The 18,092-nt window shown below is 46.3% G+C and overlaps 3 protein-coding genes, 1 non-coding gene and 1 pseudogene across 5 annotated transcripts in view, besides 3 other annotated features; all 5 read left to right on the forward strand.

The window, feature by feature from the left end:
- Window positions 1-7,420, forward strand: part of KIF15 (kinesin family member 15) — a 106,894-nt gene extending 99,474 nt beyond the window's left edge. Inside the window, exon 37 of the transcript XR_007095708.1 lies at window positions 7,224-7,420. The gene's annotated coding sequence lies outside the window, so the exon portion shown is untranslated. The remainder of the gene's footprint in view (window positions 1-7,223) is intronic.
- Window positions 105-694: an enhancer, noted in NCBI's record as "active region_19772". NCBI's record gives its function as "activates an Ori minimal core promoter by ATAC-STARR-seq in GM12878 lymphoblastoid cells {active_cell/tissue: GM12878}" and the evidence as "EXISTENCE:reporter gene assay evidence [ECO:0000049][PMID:35858748]".
- MIR564 (microRNA 564) lies at window positions 621-714 on the forward strand. The gene has a single exon (NR_030290.1). It is a non-coding gene; the product is annotated as a microRNA 564 (primary transcript).
- Window positions 645-4,397, forward strand: TMEM42 (transmembrane protein 42). Its single transcript, NM_144638.3, has 3 exons — window positions 645-849; window positions 2,930-3,076; window positions 3,773-4,397. The coding sequence occupies exons 1-3, from the start codon at window positions 658-660 to the stop codon at window positions 3,911-3,913; spliced, it is 480 nt and encodes a 159-aa protein (NP_653239.1). The 5' UTR covers window positions 645-657; the 3' UTR covers window positions 3,914-4,397.
- Window positions 725-774: a silencer, noted in NCBI's record as "silent region_14273". NCBI's record gives its function as "represses an Ori minimal core promoter by ATAC-STARR-seq in GM12878 lymphoblastoid cells {active_cell/tissue: GM12878}" and the evidence as "EXISTENCE:reporter gene assay evidence [ECO:0000049][PMID:35858748]".
- Window positions 1,105-1,154: a silencer, noted in NCBI's record as "silent region_14274". NCBI's record gives its function as "represses an Ori minimal core promoter by ATAC-STARR-seq in GM12878 lymphoblastoid cells {active_cell/tissue: GM12878}" and the evidence as "EXISTENCE:reporter gene assay evidence [ECO:0000049][PMID:35858748]".
- PPIAP18 (peptidylprolyl isomerase A pseudogene 18) lies at window positions 12,055-12,796 on the forward strand (annotated as a pseudogene).
- The window catches only part of TGM4 (transglutaminase 4), a 40,383-nt gene continuing 35,631 nt past the window's right edge, over window positions 13,341-18,092 (forward strand). For both annotated transcript variants that reach the window (XM_011534042.3, NM_003241.4), the window contains exon 1: window positions 13,341-13,430. In XM_011534042.3, the coding sequence (XP_011532344.1) occupies window positions 13,412-13,430 (19 nt within the window). In that variant the 5' untranslated portion in view covers window positions 13,341-13,411. The remainder of the gene's footprint in view (window positions 13,431-18,092) is intronic.

Here is an 18,092-nt window from a genome sequence, read left to right on the forward strand (position 1 = left end):
GGCATGAGCCACCACGCCCAGCCGGAAACATTCTAAACATACGTAAGTATAACAGGAGATTAGAAGTCATGTTGATTCTGCGTGGCTTGATTATGGATCATTGTCTTCCTCTCATCGCAGATCCTCATTTTTTCGGTTTTCTGTGATGCGCTTGTCCCCATATGGGGCTCTGGCGTCTTTCTGGGTCTGGAGGTCCCCAGCGCCCTCTGCCGAGGCATCTCTTGGTCCGGCGGTCCTCAGGCTGGAGGGTGGAGCGGAGAAGCCTGGTCGACGTGGATGGACTCGGTGGGCCGGCGCGGGGCCCGTTAGGCATCTTTAATAAGTTTCACCGGGAGCCGGGTGGCCGGGATGGAGACGGCTAAGCCGCGAGAAGTTTACCTTCTACCACAGCGTCCACAGTACCCGGCTTGGCCTCAGGCCTCGGGTCCCGACGTCCTCCCCAGAGCACAAACCTACTACAGGTTAGGCCGGAGGCCGCCACAGCCCAGGGTCTCTGCCACCTGGCCCGCCCCCTCCGAGGCGCCGGAGAGCGATTCCCAAGGGGCCTGCCGGAGCGTGGCGTCACAGGAGCGTCGCGTCACGTGAGGCTGCCATCCAATCGCGGCGCGCGCTCTGCCCTGCGGGCAGCGGGTGCCAGGCACGGTGTCAGCAGGCAACATGGCCGAGAGGCCGGGGCCTCCGGGCGGCGCCGTGTCCGCGACCGCGTACCCTGACACCCCCGCGGAATTCCCTCCGCACCTCCAGGCGGGTGCGATGCGGCGCCGCTTTTGGGGCGTATTCAACTGTCTGTGCGCCGGCGCGTTCGGGGCCCTGGCCGCCGCCTCCGCCAAGCTGGCCTTCGGCAGCGAGGTCGAGCCCGGGGCGCTGTTGGTGCTGCTGCTGCGGGCGGGCGGGCGGGGCGCCGCTGGGCGGAGGAGGGGCGCTGCGGGGCCCGCGGGGCTCTTGGGGTGGGGCGGGGGTGGGCGCAGGGCGCCGCCGCACCCTCGCCGGTCTGTCCCGCCGGGGCCCCGGGCCGCGGGCGGCGCTGCGGTCAGCTGGGGTGGCAGAGAGTGTTTCGCCTCTAATCACGCCAAACCCTCGTCCAGTGTAGGTGGTAAGAGACGTCGGGGACTGAGGCCTCTTCCCTTACCAGGGACCTAAAACCTTTTCTCCGGTTGGGCTAGTTCGCTCTCGGGGAAGAACTACACCTCCTACATCCACCCTCTACCTCTCATTTTAAGTCCCTTGTGCCTGAGCATTTCTCTCCACGTGACTCTTAAGGTGAGAAGCCTCTTGCCCATCCCTTTACTCCGTAATTAACGGGTGTTGTGACCAGATGACCAGTCTGCCCCACTACCAGGAAAATTGGGAGTTTGGGATACTGTAGGCATAAGAGGATACTGACAGAGACGTTCTGGATGTTTTCCTGACGCTGAGAACTCCTAAACTTGCATCCTGGCGTCTGCTAAGGTGTATCTCTGCCTCTCCCTCCCACGTCGTAGACCAGCCTCTGCTTGCTATAGGGGTTTCATTGCGTCTGCAGCCCAAGGTTAGCCTCTGACCTGGACAGTGGTCACTGATTATTTAGGGTTAAGCCTATTTAGGGCTAATCCAGTAGTAGCTGCCATGCTTCAGGTTAGTATCCCATTGGGTGTAGTTCATGGGGTAAGTGGTCGAAAGTAAAATGAATAACTTTGTATGGGCCGTGAAGTTTGTTGTCAGGAACTAGACCTTCATAACCCTTTAAGCAGGTTGCCACTGGCCCATATGCTGCTTTGTGTAAGACAAGGTTGTCCAACTCGCGGCCCAACGCAAATTTGCAAATTTAAAACATGAATTTTTTTGCGATTTATTATTTTTTTTTTAGCTCATCATATATCATTAGTGTTAGTGTATTATATGTGTGACCCAAGACAGTTCTTCCAGTGTGGCCCAGGGAAGCCAAAAAATTGAACACCCTGGTGTAAGTTATAAGCAAGCACCTTTTTCTCAAGACACTATGTGTTCAGCTGCTGAGAAACCATTACAAGTAATAAGTATATTTAGATTCCGCACCCCCCCCCCCCGCCGCCTTGTCTCCAGGCAGGTTTCTAACTCACCACCAAGCAAGGGGGACTGCATATCCTTTGTGTAGGAGGCTTCTAAAGATCTTCTCTTCTCTTGAGACTTTCTCCTTTAAAAAAAAAGAAAGAAAATACCTGCAAGTTCTCCAAGGGATGTCTGGGATCACTAAATAGTCTGAGGTGGTGTTTCCCTCAGGCAAGGCTGTGCCCTAGTTAAGAGCATGGAGGTACACTGCCTGCTTGTGAAGCCTGGTGGCTCTCACCGCTGTAGCACTTTAGGAAGGTTACTTAATGCCCCTGGCTCTTTATCTGTAAAATGAAGTTAAGGAATAAATGAGAATGCTTAAACACAGCCCAGGACCTAACACAGAGTAAAAGCTCAAGAATACCCAGAGGGGGTCAGCCTTAGTGGGCTGTAACTTGTATAGGATTTGGGGGTGGGAATACAGAGCAGACATTGCTAATTCATGCTTTGCCTGATCTCAAGAAATAAGAACTCTACCCTAGGCTTACTACCTACGGAGTAAGAACTACTTGGCCCTCTGGGACTGATCTTCAAGCACTGGTCATTGTGGGACCAATAAGGGGCCGGTGTTCAGTAGAAAATACTGGCTTTGGATTAGCATTTTGCTTCTTCCCAAGATCATATGGCCAGCAAGGTGGCCAAATGAGTATCTTCTCTGAATTTGCTTTATTTGTAAGATGGGTCTGCTGCCCACTGAGGGTTAAGTGAAGCCCTGTGCAGGAAAGCTCTGAGGCCCTCTGAGCTGTAGTGGGAGCTCAGTAGGAGCCTGGGTGCCAGCAACCACAGTCCTGGGTGTGCTTTGAGGGGGTCTGCAGGTTGCTGCCCAGGGTGGACGTGGCTGCAGTGACACTTTCTCCTGCAGGTGAGCATGGGTTTATGCGTCTTAGGCATTATTGTGATGGCGAGCACCAATTCTCTGATGTGGACCTTCTTTAGCCGGGGCCTCAGTTTCTCCATGTCTTCAGCCATTGCATCTGTCACAGTGACTTTTTCAAATATCCTCAGCTCGGTGAGTAGCCTGAGGGTGTGGTGCTCTTGTCCTAAATCTGGGTTCTGGGTGAGTTGTCTTTGGATAACCCCTCCTTTCCCAGACAGGAGAAAGGACAGGAACTGAAGCAGAGGTTGGGCTGTGGCTTGACCCCTGGATGAGTGCTCTATTCATGGAGCAAATGTAATTCTAATCATGGAAGAATTCTTAAGTTAGATATGAGTGAAGCCTGACAGTAAAAAGCCTACTTGCTTGCTGTTCCTCCAGGGTGGAGCCCTCATTCTGAAGTCACTGTGCATCCTAGCTGTTTCCTAGGGTTCTGTGTACTCAAGGCTCCATGGCATTTAGAGGGTTGGGATTCCCAGAAACTTTTCTGCCCTGTGTAGTCTGAGGTTGACAAGATGGAGCTGAGCGTAGTCAATCTTGAGTTGAGGGAGAAACAAATACCATGTACCTGCTGTGTCTACCTGCTGGCATCTGCTGGGTCTTTCTTGTGTACTTTGCTGAGGTCCAGTGCAGTGAGGGAGGTAGCCTCTCCACTCATGCAGGGGAGATTGAATAGAGTGACTTGATGAAGGTGACAGCTAGGTTTCAAGCCCAAGGCTTCTGGCTCCAGACCTTTCCTCCTGGCACCCTTAGAAGGAAGTCAGTCCCAGGAGAGTGAGGTTGTGCCCACCTGCTGAAGTTGAGTCCCTCACAGCTATCTTTGTCTCGCAGGCCTTCCTGGGCTATGTGCTGTATGGAGAGTGCCAGGAGGTCTTGTGGTGGGGAGGAGTGTTCCTTATTCTCTGCGGACTCACCCTAATCCACAGGAAGCTCCCACCCACCTGGAAGCCCCTTCCACACAAGCAGCAGTAGCACCACTTGGCTAGACGGACCAGCTGGAAAGATCATGATGGTGGCCCAGCCTTGGGATGTCATGTGGGACTGTATCCTAGGGCGATCCAGTTGTGCAGCCTTCTGACCATCAGCCAAGGGAAGCAGGCCTCTGATGGAGCAGGCTCTGGCTCTGTAAGGAGAGGTGCAGCTGCAGCAGTGTTCTACCGGAAGTGTTTTGATCATCTGTACAGTGCTTTGGATTCTTCCTCCCAGGCCTACCCCAGTGAGCCTTCGCAGATGCTGGAGATCCTGGGGTTGGTCTGCTTTGTGTATGGTACTTGAAACCACGCTGTAATTATTGTCCTGTTGCCAAACAAAAGCCAGTCATGTAACTCTAGAAGCAGTGACTGGTGGGGCTTTCTGACAGTTCCATGCTGATGTATCAGGCCATCTGTGTCATGCTTATGTATTATGGCAAGAAGAGGAAAACTGGATTAATAAATACGTTTTTTGTAAGTTAAAACTACCAGGTACGGTATCTTAATTCTTTCCTTCCCTTTGGAGTAAGAGGGAGCCAGAGTGAGCTGAAATCCCAATGTGGAGGAGGCAGGAGAGTGAGGCAGGTACAGAAGCCTTGTGGCTTCGGTTGCTCTGACACCTGCTAGAGCTTGATCTTGTGGTTACTTCCTGAGGTCACACAGGCTAAGGCTCTTTGAACTGCACAGGGTCTGTTCATTCTCCTGGTGCTCTCAAGGAGAAAAGTTTGACCTCCCTTTGGAGACCTTGTTTTACTTGGGAAAGAAAGTGGTTCAGAGGTCCCTCCATTCCCTGCCACTCTGTTCCTCTAGCGTTTACCTTTAGGGCTCTTCTGTCATTTGCTTTTCTTTCTCAGATTCCCCTTTGGTTTTTTTTTGTTTTTTGTTTTTTTGTTTTTTTGGGTTTTTTTTTTTTGAGACAGTCTCGCTCTGTCACCCAGGCTGGAGTGCAGTGGCGCAATCTCAGCTCACGGCAAGCTCTGCCTCCCGGGTTCGCGCCATTCTCCTGCCTCAGCTTCCCGAGTAGCTGGGACTACAGGCACCCGCCACCATGCCCAGCTAATTTTTTTTATTTTTAGTAGAGATGGGGTTTCACCATGTTATCCAGGATAGTCTCGATCTCCTGACCTCGTGATCTGCCCGCCTCAGCCTCCCAAAGTGCTGGGATTACAGGCGTGAGCCACTGCACCTGGCCCCCTTGTTCTTTTTGTATCTTAGACCATGTGAATGTAATTCCTAGTTCAAAGTGGGCTGTGTGCTGCCTGCACACTTTCCCAGCACAGAGCCTGAAGCCCGGCACTTACCTGCCTCACTTCTCCCCTGGGGTGTCCGAGGGCCCTCTCAGCTCTCCTGAGTCTGATCTCTGGCCCCAAGTCTTCTTCATACATTTCCTGCAGTTGAGAGGGACCTGGTAGCCAGGAGGCTAGGAGAGCGAAGGGTCTTGTCCAGACCCTCCTCCTCGCCCATGTAGCACCTTCATTGCTCTCCTCCCTTACTGTGGTCAGCACAATTGACAGAATGAGCTTACTAAAACCATTCCACGGCTCCTTCTGATGGGGATCTGGCCCTAGCCCACCACTCCAACAAGAGTTCTCTTCCGCAATGACTCCTTAGTACCCATCTCCCTCATGCTAGCCCCACCATGCTGAGTCCCCCCAGACATCTGCAGGTCAGCCATTCTCAAATCCACCATGTCCAGTCCTGCCAACATGTTTTGTACTTGCTCTTACCCTTGCCTTGGGTTCCCTTTACCTTCACCTCTCGCTGGCAAACTCCTGCTCTTCAAAACCCTTGAGCTCCCATGGGGGCCAGGACAAAGCTGTAATTCACAGAATGTTAATCATTTAGCTCCACTTTGACACATTGCCTCCCAGCCAACCCGTGAGGGAGTTACTCTTGTTCCTGTATTAGAGGTGAGGAAACTAAGGCTTGGGGAAGTGGAATAATTTGCCTGACATCACACAGCTGAGGAGTGCCAGAACCACAATGTCAGCCCGATCTGACTGGGCTCAGCTCAGTCCCTACCTCTGTCCTGCTTCCCACACCAACACCTGAAAACTCAGAGAGGCCCTGCAGTAAGGGGCCTGTTCCATACTGTGACTCAGCATGCCCAAACCTCAGAACCCTTTGGTCACCAGCCACCTACCTTTTCTTAGGGGCTCTAGTGTTGATCTCCCTGATCTAGTCTGACCCCACCATTCTACCAGTGAAGAAGCTGAAGGATATTCAAGGCTTTCCAGGGTGTGTTCACCATATGGGTCAGACACCCAGCCAAGGCCAGACCTGAAGGCTGCTGATAGCTGGTGGTCGGCCTCCCTGGGCAGTTAGTGAAAAGGGCAGAAAGAAGTCCATCTTGGAGCAAGCATTGTCCTGAGAGGACCTGGCCTCCCATCCAGACACTTGCTTAATGCATAGAGATGGTTGGTGTTGACGTGGAACCCTATCACTCAATTCAACAAATATGCCTGTATTTGTACAAGATGTACAAGATGTATTTGTAGAAGACGTATATTTGTACAAGATGTAAGATTTTTTCTAAGAGGAAGATCAGTCATTCTTCAAAAAGCAGGAAGATACAACTCTATAGTCATCTAAAAAGTTGAGGAAACGTTCACTGTATTTATTTTCCTCATTTCAGAGGTTTATTGATAAGAATAAACTATATCAATACTATATCAATATTTGTCTTTTTGGTGTGCATCTTGGATGATGGATTGAACTTTGTTTGCTTGGAGCTGGCAATTTGACATCCAGGTTCAAAGGCCTGATAGGTCATTCCTTTCGTTTAATTTTATTTTTTAACTTACTCTTTTTAAAAGTGTGCAATTCAGTAGTATTTTAGTAGATTCACAAAGTTTTCGACCATTACCGCTAGCTAATTCCAGAACATTTTTATCACTCCAAAAGAAATTCTCATACCCATTAGCAGTCATTTTGTATTCCATCCTCCCCCAGGCCCATGGCAATCAAGGATCCACTTTCTGTCTATAGATTTGCCTGTTGTGGACATTTCATATAAATGGATTATACAACATCAATATATGGCCTTTTGGGTCTTTTTTCACCTAGCATAGTGTTTTCAAGGCTCATTCATGTTGTAGCATGAATCAGTTATTCATTCCTTTTTATGACTGAATAATACTCCATTGTGTGGATCTACCACATTATGTTTATACATTCATCTTTTGATAGACATTTGGCTTGTTTCCCTTTTCTATTCTATTCTAATTTTCTATTAGAATAATGCTGCTTTGAACAATTGTGTACACGTTTTTGTGTGAACATGTTTTCAATTCTATTGGGTATATACCTAGGAATGGAATTGCTGATATAACTATGATACAATATGAGATAACATGTACAGAGGAGAGGTCATTTGAGGACATAGCAAGAAGGAGAGAAGGCAAGCCAGGAAAAGGGCCCTCATCAGAACCTGAATTTGCCAGCACATTGATCATGGACTTCCCAGCCTGCAGAACTGTGAGAAAATAAATATCTGTTGTTTAGGTCATGCAGTCTGTGGTATTTGTTATGGCGGCATGAGCTGACTGATACAACCCAAATGGCCATCCATATTCATCTATGGAATACTACTCTTCAGTAAAAAGGAAGAGAGTATTGATACATGCTATCACAAGGAGAATCATAAAATAATTATGCTAAGTGAAAGAAGCCAGACCCAAAAAGAATATATACCATATAGTTCCATTTATATGTAATTAAAAAGAAAAAAAGGCAAAACTTCAGTGACAGAAGGCAGATCAGTGGTTGCTTAGGGCTGGGAATCAGGGCAAGAAGGAACTTTTTAGGATGATGGCTCTTTTCTACATCTTGATCATAGTGGTCATTACACAACTGTATAAAACTAACATTCTATACTTAAAGTGGGTGAATTTTATTGGATATAAACTATACCTCAATAAAGCTAGGGGGAACTCAGTAAGATGCCATTGATGCCATTTCATACAAGATTGGCAAAAGTTACAAAGTTGAACAAGCAAGGCCAATGTTGTGGATCACTGTGAATTCCCATGTGCTACTGCTGGAAGTATAAATTAGTATAACCCTCTGGAAACATTTTACTATCATCTGACAAAACAGAAGATGTGCCTACTGTTTGAGCCAGCAATTCCAGTCCTGGAAACTCTCACTTGTGCACAAGGAGACATGAACACACATGCTTGTTGCAGCAGTGTTTATAACTGAGAAAAATGTAAAACAATCTAATATCAATGGGAGAATAGAGAAGTTATAGCATACAGTGTATTGAACACTATACAGTGGTGACAAGCATGAATTACATGGAAAAATTACATGAAAAAATCTCAAAATCATAATGTAGAGTGAAAAAAAGTAGAAGGGAGTGTTAAGTATGATAATTTTACAAAAAAATTTAAAACCTTCAATACTACTTATTATTTTAGATATTCACGTTTAGTAAGTATTTTTAAATATGCAAGGGAACTTAAATACCAAACTCAGAGTGGTGGTTACTTTGGGGAGGGAGGAAAGGAAATTGGGGTTGGGAAGGGATATATAAGGGGCTGAGAGCTTCAGTTATAACCCATAAGTTTTATTTCTTGAACTTGATGAGGGAGATGTAAGTTTTCATTGCTGTTTTTTTTTGAATTTTTGTAAGGTTTCATAAATGTTTTTAGACAATACTTCACTGATAAATGGGAACGATCACATTTAACAATCATTAGACATACAAATCTTACTGCTGTTGTTTAGCAAGAAAACCCCAAGATCGTCTTTGCTAGCCGATGTGTGCTCTGGGCTCTTTGGGCCTGGATAAGGAATAGCAGGGCCCAGCCCAGAGTCTGGAGGTGTGGTGAATCAGATAGGTTAGGGTGGGAGGTGAGACAGACCATGTTGGTTCCAGTGGAATTGGCTCCAGGGCTGGACTGGGCAGATAATTATTACTCCAAATTCCAGAGCCATCCAGTTCCTTTGGGAAACAAGGGCTTGGAGGGCTCAGATTTCCCCCAAATCCACTCAACTTGTCATAGATTGAGCTGAGATGGGACCCCAGATAGCCTGGCTGAGAGCCTGTCTTGTCTGTACTGCTTCCGTGTTCCCTTGCTGGTCTTCAATAGGGTCCCCAAAGTTCTTCTTGCCTGGAGGCCTGCAGCAGTGAGTCCTGACTGTCACCAGCATGGTCCCTCACAGGGTAGCCCCTCACCAGAGTTTAAAAGTCAGTCCCCTATGCAGTTAGACCTAATGCTACACCAGGGGGAAAATTCAAAAGAAAAAAATACACAATTTAGGCAACAGGGTTCCTAGCTGCATTACTGCTAGCAGCAGTTAGTTGCCTGATAGTTGAGAAATGGTTAGGCAAATATGGTAGAATATCACGTGCCCACGAACAGGGGTGAGCATTTGAAATAGGCGGATCCTAGACAGTGTCCACAAGGCAGCCTGCCAGGCATGGCCTGAAGTGCCAGGTTTGCTCCATGCAGTGTAAACACATTTGTGTACAATGGCAAGCGCTAGGAGTGGCTTAAAAAGAGGTGACTTCGGGGTTTATTGGATTCTTTTATTTTTCTCCTATAAAGTTGTTTACATATATAATAGGAGTCAGATGAGAGATGAATTTATAGTTTCAGATATAAGAAGAAAAGATTTTGCTCCCACAAATCTGTGGATGCGTATTTACTAACTCCTCCCTGTCTCCACACAAAAAAAGGGGGCGGGGATGCATCAGGATGCCTATCTTTATGATTTAGCTCCGAGCTTAGCACCATGAACAGCAGCTGTGGTGCCTAGAGTCCAACAGGGCCTCAGTTGTTCTTTCATCCTCAGAATTGGGGGGTGGATGCAGAGGTGGGTCAGGGATTAGGCTTGAATCCCCAAAACCAATGTGTATTGGGCTTTCCTTCCAAAAGGGACTCCCAGCATGCGTTGGGAGAAGAGGACACAGCCTCCCCTGACCTCTGCAGGAGGCACCTGCCCCACAGGCACAGGCATGGGGCCGCTCCCAGGCTTCCACCTGAGCACCCTGTCCTGTTTGCTTATTTGTTCATTTATTCATGCATTCCCTCATCTGCTGAGCACTCTGTGCCATGCTATGGGCTAGGGACACAAAATGAGAAGATTCCATTCCTGGCTAAGGTCCTCTATGAACTTCATCTTGAAACGTGTCTTCTGTTCCCCACCTTACCTGGTGGTTTTCAGGCTCTTCTTGCCTGATTTTTCCTTTTCTCCCTCCTCCCCAGCTCCATCATCTGTGGATTAATGTGAAGTGTAGACCATGCCAACTTTTCTGGGACAGCACATTCAGAGCCTCCTGTCCCATGGTGGGGCCTGTGTCTGGTCCTCTTGGAGAGCAGAGAGCAGAGGGTCTTGAGTGGGCTGCCTCTGATCCCAATATGCCTGGAGTTGGCCACCAGGTGCTAGTGCAATACAGTGGCTGCAGTTCAGCAGCTGGTGGGGGAGGGGGATGCTGATGGCCCCAGTGGCCTGTGACTAGACCATGGTGTCAGCTGTGGCCCCAGACAGGAAACATGAGAAAAGATGATCCTTTGGGACCAGCTGACAGATAAAATGCCACATGCACAAGGAACTAAATAAGGGCCGACTCTGCTGAGGCCCGGAAGTTCTGCTGCAGGAAGAGGGAAGGGAGGCTCACGGGGATCCTCTCCTGATGCCCAGGTGGCTGCCTCTCTCTAGGCTGCACTTTTTCCAGCTGTGAAATGAGGTTGTTGGGATGGGGGGGGTCCTTTGTAAGGTCCGCGGTGTAACTCATTTCTTGCAGAGAATTTTGAATGCCTTTGCCTCTTCACAGCATCCTGCTTCAGACACTTGACCTGTGGCGTGGGTGTTATTATTTCCCACCTCCCAGATGAAGAAACAGAGGCACAGAGAAGTAACTTCCCAAGGTCACACAGTGGATCTGTAGAGGACCCAGGATGTAGGCCCAGTTCTGTCTGACCCAAAGTCTATTTCTTTTAGACACTTTTATACTCACTCTGGTACCCTGGATTCTCTGGCCTGGAAGGCACTGGCGAAAGCTCATCTTGCACAAGCCCCTTATTTGTCAAAAATGATGAAAGAAGCTCAGAGAGGTGAAGCAACTAAAACCCGGACCCTCTCACCCCTAGGCCAGGACTTTTATTTAGAGGCTTTTTCCATTTAAGTAGTGAATTTATTCTTAAATAGGTAATTCATGCACATGGTGCTAAATTCTGATGATGTAAAAGGAAATACAGAGAAAAGCAAGCATCCTTCTCCCACTCCTGAGCCTGTAATCATAGGGCCTAGGGCTTCTCTGCAGACAGAACCCAGCCAAGACTTTTCGTAAATGCCATGTGCACTTCAGGGCTTGGTTTGTTCTATTATATTTAGGGATGCGGTGCTGAGATGCTTGCCTGCAGAACAGCAAAAACCTCTGACTTCATTATTGTTATTCAGAGTAACCAGGGTCATTGCTCTCTGGCTTGCCTTAAAGCCAGCAAAGGCAATTGCCCATCCCTGGGCTTTTGGTCTGGAAGAGACCGTTGGCATCATTATTCAGCCCCCTCACTTTTCAGGTAAGGAGCTAATGAAGACAACATTCCCAGTGACACACGGCAAGTTACTGTGGTGTTGGGGTTTCAGTGTCAGGAGTCTCCTCTCTTCCTCTGGCATTTCTGCTACTATGCCAGGCTGGCTCCTTTCAGTAGACATAACATCATTGAAAAATACCACAAGTGCCCCTGTGGAGAGCAGAGCAGATAGCCATTAAAATTACAAAAGCTTATGCTTTTTGGCCCAACATTTCCACTTCAAGGCATTCAATTCTTCCTATAGATACACTCATGTGAGGGTAAAATGATCTCTGTATAACCTTATTCTTTGCAACACTGATTGTAATAAGGAAATATTGGAAGCAACCCAGATGCCTATGGGTGGGAGGTGAGTTACATAAATTAGGGACCATCCACACAAACAGAATATGTGCAGCTGTGAAAAGACTGGGCCACCTCTCCATGTGCAATAGGAACAGCTCCATCTTGCCAGGCGTGGTGGCTCACACCTGTAATCCCAGTACTTTGGGAGGTGAAGGTGGGGCGGATCCCTTGAGCCTAGGCATTCCAGACCAGCCTGGGCAATGCAGTGATATGCTCTCATTGTGTAAATAAAACAAAATAATACATTATTTGCTTTGCAGATGCCACTGCCGCCAGGAGCCCTGTAACATCAGCCATCGTCAACCCCACCGTGTTCTTCAACATCACCGTTGACGGCAAGCCTTTAGACCTGCGTCTCCTTCAAGCTGTTTGCAGACAAGGTTCCAAAGCCAGCAGAAAACTTTTGTGCTCTGAGCACTGGAGAGAAAGGATTTGGTTATAAGAGTTCCTGCTTTCACAGAATTATTCCAGGGTTTATGTGTCAGGGTGGTGACTTCATACGCCATAATGGCACTGGTGGCAAGTCCATCTATGGGGAGAAATTTGATGATGAGAACTTCATCCTAAAGCATACAGGTCCTGGCATGTTGTCCATGGCAAATGCTGGACCCAATACAAATGGTTCCCAGTTTTTAATCTGCACTGCCAAGACTGAGTGGTTGGATGGCAAGCTTGTGGTCTTTGGCAAGGTGAAGGCATGAATATTGTGGAGGCCATGGAGTGCTTTGTGTCCAGGAATGGCAAGACCGGCCAGAAGATCACCATTGCTGACTGTGGACAGCTCTTATAAGTTTGACTTGTGTTTTATCTTAACCACCAGACCATTCCTTCTGTAGCTCAGGGGAGCACCCTCCACCCCATTTGCTCCCAGTATCCTAGAATCTTTGTGCTCTCGCTGCGGTTCCCTTTGGGTTCCATGTTTTCCTTGTTCCCTTCCATGCCTAGCTGGATTGCAGAGTTAAGTTTATGATTATGAAATAAAAACTAAATAACAAAATAATAATAATAGTACATTATTTGCTTCTCAGTGCATACAACATCTCTGGAAAGATCTAAAAGAAACTGGTAGTAGGATTCAACAAGGTGGACAGGGGGCATTTTTTTCCATTTTGAACCATGTGGATGCATTATATATTCAAAATGTAAAACAAAAAACTCACAAGCATCTCTTACTTTTTCAACTTGAAGAAAAGAGAAGAAGAAGAAAACCCTAAAGTCAGTAAAGGTTAGCCTGGGTTCCTAGACTTAAGCTTGATAGTAACCAGAATGTCAGGCCACATGTGGTGTAGGTCATAGGGTCCTGGCTTTTGGTCACCCACTGTTAGGCTCATATAACAGACAAGGAGGTGCCATTGTCCGTTGTCTGTCCCTTTTACATCAGCTCATCTTGGCTCCTGATTTCCTGGGTCTGATATGGAAGATTCCGGGATTTTATTATTTCTAATCAACATCGCCTTCCCAAACCCCGCCCCTTGGCAGCCATAGCAAGGCCACATCTAGCCCAGGATCACATAAAAAGGGCTGTTTCCTCCCCTGAGGACCGACTGTGTGGAAGCACCAGGCATCAGAGATAGAGTCTTCCCTGGCATTGCAGGAGAGAATCTGAAGGGATGATGGATGCATCAAAAGGTGAGTGGGTGAAATCTCCATGGAGCCCCACATGCCCCTTCAGCCAGCTGGCCCTAAACTGCTCTCTTGCCTCTGCCGGGTGCCTGGGGCCATTGCCCTCTCACCCTGACTTGTGGCCCTGGTGCTGCTTGCTTTCTGTCTCATCCCTTTTTAGAAAACCCACAAACTTTTCATTTAGGCATAATTTCAGATTTACAAAAAGATTGCAAGAATAAAAAGAAGAATTTCCATATATCCTTTATCCAGATTCCCTAAATTATTACTGCATTTGCTTTATCCTTCTCGATCAGTGGACAGATAGATGATATAGACAGATAGATAGACAAATATATATTTTTTGAACTCTTGAGAGTAAGTTGCAGATATTACATTATTAAATATTTTGGTGTGTATTTCCTAAAGACAAGGACATTCTCTTACGTAACCAATACAATTATGAAGACCAGGACATGAACACCATTTCAATACTGTTATCCAACCCACAGATTTTATGCAGATTTCATCAACTGTCCCAATAATGTCATTTATAGCAGAAGAAAATCCTGGGTTAGGCTTTGCATTCCGTTGTTGTGCCTCTTCGGTCTCCTTTGTCTGGAATAGTTCTTCTGTCATTCTTGGAGTTTTGTGACTTCAACACTTTTGAAGAGTACAGACCAGTTATTTTGTAGAATGTCTCTCAATGTGTCCTGTCCTTTCTCAAGGTCACCTGATGGATTTCCCTACTGCAGAGGGTCTGTCTGCTGCTGTCAGCAGTGTCATTGCTTCTCAGAGTGGGGAATAGCAGAGCGGAGTCATGTGCCAGGCTCTGTGTCCCATGAGGATGCAGCCGCCTACCACCACCAAGAGCAGACACCAGAGCCCTCAGTTTTACTTCAGGGAGTCCGGGTGCTGCTAGGGAACAACGAGGCTGGGTTTGAACCCCTCTGCTGACTCCCCAGCCCACAAGCCCTCTGTAACCTCCCAGCAGGGTTTGCTCAGCAGCCTTCTCTCTTGCTTGAGAAGCTGCTTGATAAGCCAAGGAATGGCTGCTTTGAAACTCTGCAAAGGGACTAAGCCAGACCCTCCTAGTTTCCACCTTCTTTTTTGGAGGGTGACATTGCGAAATAAATCAGACTCTTCTTTTTAGTCCCAAGGCCACAGAGTTTTGAATTCCTCCTTAGATGGCTGACGCCTCAGCTAGACTCAGTCTTGGAGGGTACAGAGTCCTTAGGACTGAGAAAGGGTGGTGTGGTGTGATGGGAAGCACCTGCTGATTTGAGAGAAGATTCATGTCTAAATAGCCCTGTGGCTTTGGGCAGGTTACATCAATCCCGTGAAAGCACTATATAAATTACTGAGGACTACCTGAAGGAAAGGTAGTCCTGACCCACACTGTCATTTTCAAGAGGTGTGACCTGTTCACTGGGGAGGTTTGATGACTTGACTGAGGTCCCAGCCATGGGTGGCAGAGCTGGGACACAAACCCGGCGTGTGTTCATTTCATGCCACACTATGCTGCCTCCCTGCTGGGCACAATTTGACTTTACTCTCAAGGTCTAAATCACCAAAGACAGTCATCTCCTGGCCACCAGTGTTGGGGTGTTGGTGAGGGGAGCTGACGCTCCCTGAGGTGTCCTTTCTGATGGGCTTGTGCAAGTAACCATCACATGCCACCTTACAACATTAGCAAGTTGTGATGACTCCATGGTGTTTTCATGAATATGATTTCATTTGTTCTTCCAACCACTCTAGGAGGTCAGGACATCCAAATAGGGACCTGGAAGATGGTGATATGTGTGGGATAAAGGTAGGATTTCATATAAATGGAGGAAATGAGAAATTGTGCACTTTATGGTATTAGGACAACTGGTTAGTATTTAGAGAAAAACAAAGCCAGATATCTATCTCATGGCTTATCCCACAACGAATCCCAGAAAGGTCGAAGACGAAACTGTAAAGGCAATAGAAGAAAATGAAGGCAATATGAAAAATAATCTTAGAGTAGAGAAGGTGTTACAAAGGAAAATAGAAAACCTAGAAACATAAAGGAAAAGAACAGTAAAACTGACTCCAGAAAAATTAAAAATATGTGTAAGACAAAACCTCCAGAGTCAGAAGGTAATGGAACTGTGAAGGGTACTTTCAACACATATGAGAAGCAAATGCTGTTCTGTAGTATAAAAAGAGCTCTCAGATCTATAAGAAAATGACCAACATCCCAAAATATACATGGACAAAGAGCAGTATTAGGTAGTTCAAAGAAAAAGAAATATAAATTGTAATATATGAAAAGATGCTCAACCTTACTTGTAACGAGGGTGGTCATGAAATAAAACTGAAACAGCAGGCCAGGTATGGTGGTTCATGCCTATAATCCCCAAAATTTGGGAGGCTGAGGTAGGAGGATTGCTTGAGCCCAGGAGTTCGAGACCAGCCTGGAAAACATAGTGAGACCCTGTCTCCACAAAACAATTTAAAAATTAGCCGTGGCCCAGCAAGGTGGCTCATGCCTGTAATCCCAGCACTTTGGGAAGCCAAGGTGGGCAGATCACTTGAGATCAGAAGTTAGGGACAAGCCTGGCCATCATGGTGAAACCCCGTCTCTACTAAAAAATACAAAAATTAGCCGGGTGTGGTGGGGTACACCGGTAATCCCAGCTACTTGGGTGACTGAGGCATGAGAATTGCTTGAACCTGGGAGGCGGAGGCTGCAGTGAGCTGAGACTGCACTCCAGTCTGGGCAACAGAGCGAGACTTTGTCTCAAAAATAAATAAATAAATAAAAATAAAAATTAGCCAGACATGGTGGTGCATATCGGTAGTTCCAGCTACTCAGCTACTCAGGTTCAAGGCTGCAGTGAGCCATGATTGCAACACTGCACTTCAGCCTGGGTGACAGGCCAAGACTCTGTCTCTTAAAAAAAAAAAAGGTTATATAAAAGCAAAACAGCAATGAGATTTCATTTTTTCATTTATCAGATTAGCCAAGATTAAAAGTTTAATAGTAAATAGCTTTAAAAAGGCATCTTCTCATCTTTTTGTAGGAGTATCACTGGTGCAGTCGCTAGAAGGCTCTCTGGCAACATTTGCTGAAATTAAAGATGCCCATATCCTGTGACACAGCAATTCTGCTTTGGAAGATTTCTCTTACAAATATTGTCACACATGAGTGCAAAGATACATGTACAAGGAAGTACATTGTAGCATATAAGATTTTAAATGGTCTACATGTCCATCCAGGGGGATAATAGCTACTAAAAAGTAACAAGGTTGAGACCAGCCTGGGCAACATAAGGAGACCCCTTCTTCACAAAAAATGAAAAAATTAGCTGGGTGTGGTGATGCATGCCTGTAGTGCCAGCTACTCAGGAGGATGAGGTGAGAGGATTGCTTCAGCCCAGGAGGTCGAGGCTGCAGTGAGCTGTGATCACACCATTGCACTCCAGCCTGGGAAACAGAATGAGACTCTGTCTCAAAAAAAGAAAAAAAAATTAAAAGAAAATAATAACAAGATCTACTTGGGTGGTTAGGAGATAAATTTCAAGACATGTGTGTGAGAGAGAGAGGGAGAAAAAGAGAGAGAGAGAGAGAAGCAAGGCGCAGAATAGTGTATTGAGAAAGCTCCTGTTTCTGTAACTAAAGTAATGGTTTATGGCAGAGAAAACTGGAAAGATACCTAGATACTTTATAGTGATTTTCTCTGGAGAAAGGATCTGGGAGTCTGGGATGGGAGAGAAACTTAATTTTTGTAATGGGCATTTATTACTTTTGTTTTATTATTATTATTATTATTATTATTATTATTATTATTATTATTATTATTTGAGATGAGGTCTCACTCTGTCACCCAGGCTGGAGCACAGTGACGTGATCTCGGTTCACTGCAGCCTCCAGTTCCCAGGTTCAAGCGATTCTCCTACCTCAGCCTCCTGAATAGCTGGGATTACAGGCATGCGCCACATTACCCAGCTAATTTTTTATTTTTAGTAGAGATGGGGTTTCACCATGTTGGCCAGGCTGGTCATGAACTCCTGGCCTCAAGTGATCCGCCTGTCCTGGCCTCCCAAAATGCTGGGATTACAGGCGTGAGCCGCTGCGCCTGGCCTCTTCTTTATCCTATTTGTGATTCTTTGTGGTTCCTAAATAAGAGGATTCATGTCTCTCATTCATTTTGGAAAGTTTTCAACCATCACCTCTTCGCTGCTGCTCCCCATTCTTGATTCTCTCCTTTCAGAACAACTATAGTATATAGTTTAGCCCTTTTCATCCAAGACTCCGCGTCTCTAAACTGCTTTTCATATTTACTTCTATTAATATTTCTCTAGGTTGTATTATAGGTATTTGTTTCCAGTCTATTTTCTAGTTCACTGATTCTCTTTCAGTTATGTCTATTTGCTGTTTAACCTGTGAGTTTTTTTCATTTTGAGAACCATATTTTCATTTTTAGAAGTTATGTTTTAAAAAATTTATCTGGTCATTCTTAATAGTGGCTTATTCCTTTCTCATCATTCTGATTTATTCTCTTAGGTCCCTAGCCATTTTTGACTTGGCTATTTTATGGTCTCTCTCTCTCTCTCTCTCTCTCTCTCTATATATATATATATATATATAGTTTATTTAATTTAATTAATTTATTTATTTATTTTTGAGATGGAGTTTCACTCTTATTGCCCAGGCTAGAGT

Source organism: Homo sapiens, chromosome 3, assembly GCF_000001405.40.
Source record: "Homo sapiens chromosome 3, GRCh38.p14 Primary Assembly".
NCBI lineage: Eukaryota > Metazoa > Chordata > Mammalia > Primates > Hominidae > Homo > Homo sapiens.